The 7,558-nt window shown below is 42.0% G+C and overlaps 2 annotated features.

The window, feature by feature from the left end:
* Positions 3,964-5,163: an enhancer, noted in NCBI's record as "CDK7 strongly-dependent group 2 enhancer chr9:6084860-6086059 (GRCh37/hg19 assembly coordinates)". NCBI's record gives its function as "activates an origin of replication core promoter dependent on BRD2, BRD4, P300/CBP, MED14 and CDK7 cofactors, with strong dependence on CDK7, by STARR-seq in HCT116 cells {active_cell/tissue: HCT116}" and the evidence as "EXISTENCE:reporter gene assay evidence [ECO:0000049][PMID:35650434]".
* Positions 6,014-7,213: an enhancer, noted in NCBI's record as "MED14-independent group 3 enhancer chr9:6086910-6088109 (GRCh37/hg19 assembly coordinates)". NCBI's record gives its function as "activates an origin of replication core promoter dependent on BRD2, BRD4, P300/CBP and CDK7 cofactors, and independent of MED14, by STARR-seq in HCT116 cells {active_cell/tissue: HCT116}" and the evidence as "EXISTENCE:reporter gene assay evidence [ECO:0000049][PMID:35650434]".

A 7,558-nucleotide genomic window follows, 5' to 3' on the forward strand; every position in this document is an offset into this window, starting at 1 on the left:
GTACCACAAGGACAGGGGGTGGCTATTGGCTTTGTAAACTCTCCCTTGACCAGTTCAGAAGTCCAGAATTTAAAAAAGGAGCTTAAGCCATTATTGGATGACCCTTATGGAGTAGCAGATCAAATTGATCAATTTCTAGGGCCTCAGATATACACTGGGCTGAGTTGATGTCCATTTTGGGTGTCCTCTTTTCAGGGGAAGAACGAAGTACGATTCGGAGGGCTGCTATGGTGGTTTGGGAATGTGAGCACCCTTCTGGTCAAAATGTTCCTCCTGCAGACCATAAATTTCCCACCCGAGACCCCCAGTGGGACAATAACAATGCAAATCACTGGGAAAACGTGAAGGACCTAAGGAAGATGATAATAAAAGGAATTCGAGAATCAGTACCCCGAACTCAAAATCTTTCTAAAGCATTTGATATTCAACAGGAAAAAGATGAGGGACCTGCTAGATTCTTAAACAGATTGAGGGAGCAAATGAGACAATATGCAGGCCTTGATTTGGAAAACCCCCTTGGACGAGGAATGTTAAAACCTCACTTTGTTACTAAAAGTTGGCCAAACATTTCAAGAAAATTACGAAAGATAGAAAGTTGGGAGGACCAGCCTCTGAGTGAACTGCTCAGGGAGGCTCAAAAAGTATATGTGAGAAGAGATGAGGAAAACAAAAACAAAAACAAAAGACAAAACTCATGTTTTCTGCCTTCCAACAGATGGCTCCAAATCCATATATCTCTAAGCAGGGCTTTCAAGGGGCCAGAGATTATAAGGGGCCTAAACCCTCCTTTAGAGGACTGAAGCCTCCATCTGGAGGGTCAAGGTCCTCATTTAATAAGCCCCCTAAGTGGTATAGGGGAGCAAGGGCTGAGAATGCTAAGACTGAGACGGAAGAAGGACAAGATAGAGGCTACAGATGTGGAAGAACAGGCCACTTCAAGAGGGAATGTCCTGAAATAAAGAGAGAGAGAGAAATTTTTACACTCATGACTTCCGAAGAACAATAGGGGAGTCAGGGGCTCTGCCTCTTTTATTTTGAGTCCCACCAGGAGCCCTTGATAAATTTGGAGGTAGGACCTAAACATGAATTTATCACCTTTTTAGTTGATTCAGGAGCTTCACACTCCTCTGTTTGTTTCCCTCCACCTGGTCTTACCTGCTCTTCGGAAGAAGTTTTAGTCAGCGGGGTAAAAGGAGAAGGATTTAAGGCAAAAATTTTTAGAAAGCACAGAAGTCAGATATCAAGATTGATTTACTCATATTCAATTTTTATTAATTCCTGAAGTGGGAACTAATCTATTAGGAAGGGACTTAATGGTAAGGCTAGGTACAGGCCTTCGAGTGGGCCCTAAAGGATTCCTCACTTCACTACATTTACTCACTGCTGTAAATGAGAAATATATTCATCCTGATGTCTGGTCAAAGGAAGGAAATAGAGGGAAACTCCAAATCTCTCCAATACATATCAAACTAAAAAATCCTGGGGAAATAGTAAGGAGAAAGCAGTACCCCATTCCTTTAGAGGGCAGAGTAGGGCTAAAGCCTGTAATTAAGGGTCTCATTAAAGATGGGCTTCTTGAACCCTGTATGTCTCCTTACAATACCCCAATCATGCCTGTCAAGAAATCAGATGGGTCCTATTGATTAGTGCAAGACCTTAGAGCTATTAATCAAGTAGTCCAGACCACTCACCCCATTGTTCCTAACCCTTACACCATTCTTAGCAAAATTCTATACAATCATCAGTTGTTTACATTGACGGATTTAATCTGGCATGCCCTTGGCTAAGGATAGCTGAGATATATTTGTTTTTGAGTGGGAAGACCCCCACTCAGGGCTGAGACAACAATATTGATGGACAGTCTTGCCCCAGGGGTTCACAGACTCCCCCAACCTCCCTCTTTGGTCAGATCCCAGAACAAGTACTAGAGAAAGTCACAGTCCCTAAGCAAATATGCCTGCTTCAGTACGTAGATGATCTTCTTATATCTGGTAAAGATATAAAGGAAGTAAGTGACTTCTCTACACATATTCTCAATCACTTGCAATGTGAGGGGTTGTGGGTCTCAAAAGGGAAACTTCAGTATGTAGAACCTGAAGTTAAATACTTAGGTCACCTAATCAGTGCTGGTAAATGAAGAATAGGCCTTGAAAGAGTGGAGGGAATTGTTTCTCTACCCCTGCCTCAAAATAAACAAGAACTCAGGAAATTTTTAGGACTAATTAGATATTGCTGTTTATGGATTGACACATTTGCATTAAAAAGTAAACTTCTATATGAGAAACTTGCCCAGTGCAAACCTGATTGTCTCTTGTGGACTTCTGAGGAAATCCAGCAAATTGAGGAATTAAAAGAGATGCTCATAACTGCCCCTATTCTAGCTCTACACTCCCTAGAGTTTTTGTTAACGTAAATAATGAGGTAGCTCTAGGAGTTCTTACCTAAGGGCATGGAGGCAATTGACAGCCCGTGGCCTTCTTGTTAAAGGTCTTAGACCCAGTCACTTTTGAGTGGCCCCAATGTATCCAATCCATCACGGCTACAGCAGTATTAGTTGAAGAAAGTAGGAATTTAACCTTTGGAGGAAAGTTAACAGTAAGCACACCCCACCAAGTTAGAACTATTTTAAGTCAGAAAGCAGGAAGGTGGATCACTGACTCAAGGATTTTAAAATATGAGGCTATCCTACTGGAAAAAGATGATTTAATATTAACTACTGAAAATTCACTTAATCCAGAAGCCTTTCTGATAGGGGATCCAAACTTAAAAAGAGAGCACGCATGTTTAGATCTGATTGATTACCATACAAAAGTTCGACCAGACTTAGGAGAAACTCCCTTCAAGAGAGGGGGGCACTTATTCATAGATGGCTCCTCCTGCGTAATTGAAGGGAAAAGACATCATGGGTATTCAGTGATTGATGGAGAAACGCTTGAAGAAGTAGAATCAGGAAGACTGCCTAATAATTGGTCTGCCCAGACATGTGAACTGTTTGCACTCAGCCAAGCTTTAGAACATTTACAAAACCAAGAAAGAACTATCTATACTGACTCTAAGTATGCCTTTGGGGTGGCACACACATTTGGAAAAATTTGGATGGAGAGGAGTCTTACCAATAGTAGAGGCCAAGATTTAGTTCATAGAGAACTAATTGCTTGTGTCCTCTATAATCTCCAATTGCCAGAAGAGATAGCTATTGTACATGTCCCAGGGCATCAGAGGGACTTGTCTTTCACAAGTCGGGGAAATAATCTCGCAGATCAGATAGCAAAGCAAGCTGCCGTTTCTTCTGAAATGCCTGTTTTTCATTTAACTCCATGCCTTCCTTCTCCTACTGCAACCCCCATTTTCGCTTCCATTGAAAAAGAGAAGTTAATAAGAATAGGAGCTAAAGAGAACACAGAAGGGAAATGGATATTATCAGATCAAAGGGAGATGTTGTCAATACCTCTCACGAGGGAGATCTCGTCTCAATTACATCAGGGGACCCAATGGGGACCCCAAGCAATGTATGATGCAGTTCTCCAGGTTTATGGGTATATAGGAATTTACACCCTGGCCAAACAAGTTATAGATAGTTGTTTAATACGTAAAAAAGACTAATAAGCAGATTCTAAGGAAATTGCCCCTTGGAGGAAGGAATCCAGGGCTGAGACCATTTCAAAGTGTTCAGATTGATTATACCGAAATGCCCCCAGCTGGTTGCTTAAAATACTTAGTAGTAGTAATAGACCACTTTACCCACTGGGTAGAGGCTATCCCATTCTCAAGTGCAACCACCAATAATGTAGTCTAAGCATTAATTGAAAACATCGTACCCAGATTTGGACTAGTGGAAAATATTGATTCAGATAATGGAACCCATTTCACTGCACATGTCATTAAGAAGTTAGCCCAGGTACTAGATATAAATTGGGAATATCATACCCCCTGGCATCCATCCTCCTCAGGAAGGGTAAAGCAGATGAATCAGACTCTAAAAAACCACTTAAGTTAGTTTTAGAACCCGATTGCCATGGACTAAATGTCTTCCTATTGCTTTGTTAAGAATCCAGACTGCCCCTTGGAGAGATATTGGCCTTTCCCCTTATGAAATGCTCTACGGATTGCCCTACTTACACTCTGCTGCTGACATCCCTACATTTGAAACTAAAGATCATTTCCTCAAAATCTATACACTTTGTCTATCCTCTATCTTCTCCTGCCTTAAGACTAAAGGTCTCCTAGCACAGGCGCCACCCCTGGAGTTTCCAGCACATCAACATCAGCCTGGAGACTATGTCCTCATCAAAGGGTGGAAGGAAGGGAAACTCGAACCAGCTTGGGAAGGACCCTACCTAGTGCTCCTAATTACTGAGACTACAGTCCGGACAGCGGAAAGAGGATGGACTTATCACACCCAAGTCAAAAAGACGCTGCCACCTTCAGAATCATGCACTGTCACTCCTGGGCTCACCCCCACCAAACTAACTCTAAAAAGAGATTACTAATCACTTACTTATTTTCTTTTCAACAGAAGGTCATCTTGTCATCAATGGTAACTCAGGCTAGCCAACCTTTAACCCTTCTGTTTGACGTCTGTTCAGTCATCCCGTGCGGAGATGAGCAAGCTCAAAGGAAGGTATCCCATGGTGATAAGTATCTATGTCCATACTGCAAAGAGTCAACCAAGTATAAGTATGGAACTTCAAAACGTCCCTGTAGTGACTGGGCAGATGTTTGGTGGACCACTAAGTACAAAGGGTGGACAGCCAGGCCGCCTGCTTCAAATAGGTTACGGGGACTAAGACAAAAACTCCAACTAGTCCGTGGCCACACCCCACCAAATTGTAAGCTGTTGCACTGTTACCCCTTGTTGCTGATTATAAATCATCCCTGGACAATAGCCCAAGAACCCTCTGTATTTGAACGGTATGGGTTAGAAGCAGATGTTTCAGGATAAGGCCCTATAGGAATCTTCTCCCTAAGGTTATTTAAACCACTGGTTAACAACAATAAAGGAATTCAGGCCCAGAGTCCAGGAGACATGTGGAACCCAACGCTCTCCCCAGGTATAGCGAGTCCAACGTCCTCCTCACATCTCCAAAATGACCCAACCAAGGTAACAGTTGTGGAGGTAGAAAACTTAAGGCAAACTATAGCTCTAGAAACAGGATATCAAGATGCAAATGCTTGGCTGGAAACAATTAAATATTCCGTCCGCACTTCAAACAAAAGTGAATGTTACGCTTGTGTGCACAGTAAGACCAGAAGCCCAGATTGTCCCCGTTCCGCTTAGATGGTCTTCCAGCTGACCGGGCATGAGCTGTATGGTAGCTCTCTTCCAAAACCCCTCAGCCTGGGGCAATAAATCATGCCAAGCTCTTTCTCTGCTGTTCCCTGAAGTTCGACACCCTGTGGGTCTGCCCCCGAGGGCCATTCAGCATCCATCTCCCAATGCCAATTTTACTTCATGTCTCTCATGACAGGGAGAAAACTTGGCATTCCTGGAAGCCTTAACAGGATGCAGTAAGCTTAAGTCCTTCCAAGAGCTTACCCATCAGTCTGCCCTTAGCCATCCTCGAGAGGATGTGTGGTGGTATTGTGGTAGACCAATACTGGACACTCTGCCAAGTAACTGGAGCAGAATTTGTGCTCTAATTCAATTGGCCATCCCTTTCACCCTGATATTTCATCAACCAGAAAGGACAGGAACCAAATATCATCAAACAAAAGAGGCCCCCACCATGGGTCCTTCAATTCTCATGTTTATATAGATGCCATTGGGGTCCCAAGAGGATTGCCAAATGAATTTAAGGACCAAAATCAAATAACTGCCGGATTTGAATCTATGCTCTTCTGGTGGTTAACTGTAAATAAAAATGTGAATTGGATAAATTACATTTATTACAATCAACAATGATTTATTAATTATACTAGAGATGCTATTAAAGGGATGGCTGAACAACTAGGACCCACCAGTCAAATGGCCTGGGGAAATAGGATAGCATTAGACATGATATTAGCAAAGGAGGGTGGAGTTTGTGTCATGATCGGGACCCAATGCTGTGCTTATATCCCTAATAATACTGCTCCTAGTGGGACCATAACTAAAGCATTACAAGGTCTTACTGCCTTATCAAATGAACTAGCCAAAAACTCTGGACTAAACGATCCCTTCACAAATTTAATGGGAAATTTGTTCGGTAGATGGAAGGGACTTATGTCCTCAATCCTCATGTCTCTGGCCATTGGAATAGGGTTGCTTATTCTTGTAGGATGTTGTATTATACCCTGTGCCCAAGGACTAATATAAAGACTTACTGAAACAGCTCTCACTAAAACCTCTTATGATCCTCCTCCCCCTTATTCAAATTAGCTTTTCCTTCTAGAAGACCAAGTAGAACAACAGAGCCAAATTATGCTAAAAAGATTTGAAGAGAAAAAGTTATAAAAAGAAGAAGGGGAAATCTGTGGGATATGATGAGGTTTCTCTTCAAATAGCCTGATCAATCCTTTATTATTTAATTCATAGTATCCCCCCACCCCTTTTTCCTTTTTCTCCTTTTTTCTTCCTTTCTGCCTTTGTTACATGCCCAGACATGCCACAGTACCAGGCGTTATCAGTACCAGCTCACATTCTTTCCCTTACTTGGAAAGAAGACTAGCTCTCTAGCTCATTGCAGACACCACTTCACCTTTTCCCTCTCTCCCTTACATGCCCACCTAATCTAAAAAAGTGTCAAATGTTTAGTTAACCGGGAATAGTTTAGACTGTACGGCCCAACCCCGACCAATGGGGAAAGGGTACTGCGGCAGGACTTGCGCCAGGAATAAAAGCTCTCGTGACCCTTTGTTCAGGTGTGCTCTCATGGTGACTGGCCAAGGAGAAGCACCCCTCTGTGCAAAAGTAAAATTGCTTTGCTAAGAATCCTTTGTTTTGAGTGTTCAATTTCCTTAGGATTTTGAGCGTTATTCCCAACACATGACTTCTAAAACTGTTATTTTTTTTCTGTAGTAATAATTCTTTATTTTCATTTGCCTAGTGTGCTGTGCCTTTATTAATTAGTCCCAATTTTTCATGGAGCAGCATAGCTACTGTCAGCAGGAAAAAATGTCTCGAATAATTGGTTCCATTTTGCTCCTAGAGTCTTTAATATTCCTGACTCAATCTGTATCTGTTTCTCTCTAGGCTTTCTGTATAACCCTCATTCTTCACTGTCAATCTGGAAAATCTCTACTTTTCTCCTGTAATGGATTCTACATTTCCTATATCCCATGTCTTCTACTTTTTGGGTTTATTTTTGTGAAGAGACTGATGGTTATATACTTAATATTCAATTTTTTCTATTTCTAAGGGGAATCACAATTTATTTGTGGGTGGTAGTGTGTCCAGCCAAAACCTATATTTCTCAGTTCACCTTGCAGATAAATATGGCCCTGTAACATGGTTCTGGTTGCTGTAACATAAGCAGAAGTTTTTGGGTGAGGCTTCCTAAAAAAGCTCTTAAGAAGATGGGAGTGGACAGTCTCAGCTGGCATGCACATTGTGTCCTTTACCCTTCCTTTTCTTCTTGCA

Source organism: Homo sapiens, chromosome 9, assembly GCF_000001405.40.
Source record: "Homo sapiens chromosome 9, GRCh38.p14 Primary Assembly".
NCBI classification, from domain to species: domain Eukaryota; kingdom Metazoa; phylum Chordata; class Mammalia; order Primates; family Hominidae; genus Homo; species Homo sapiens.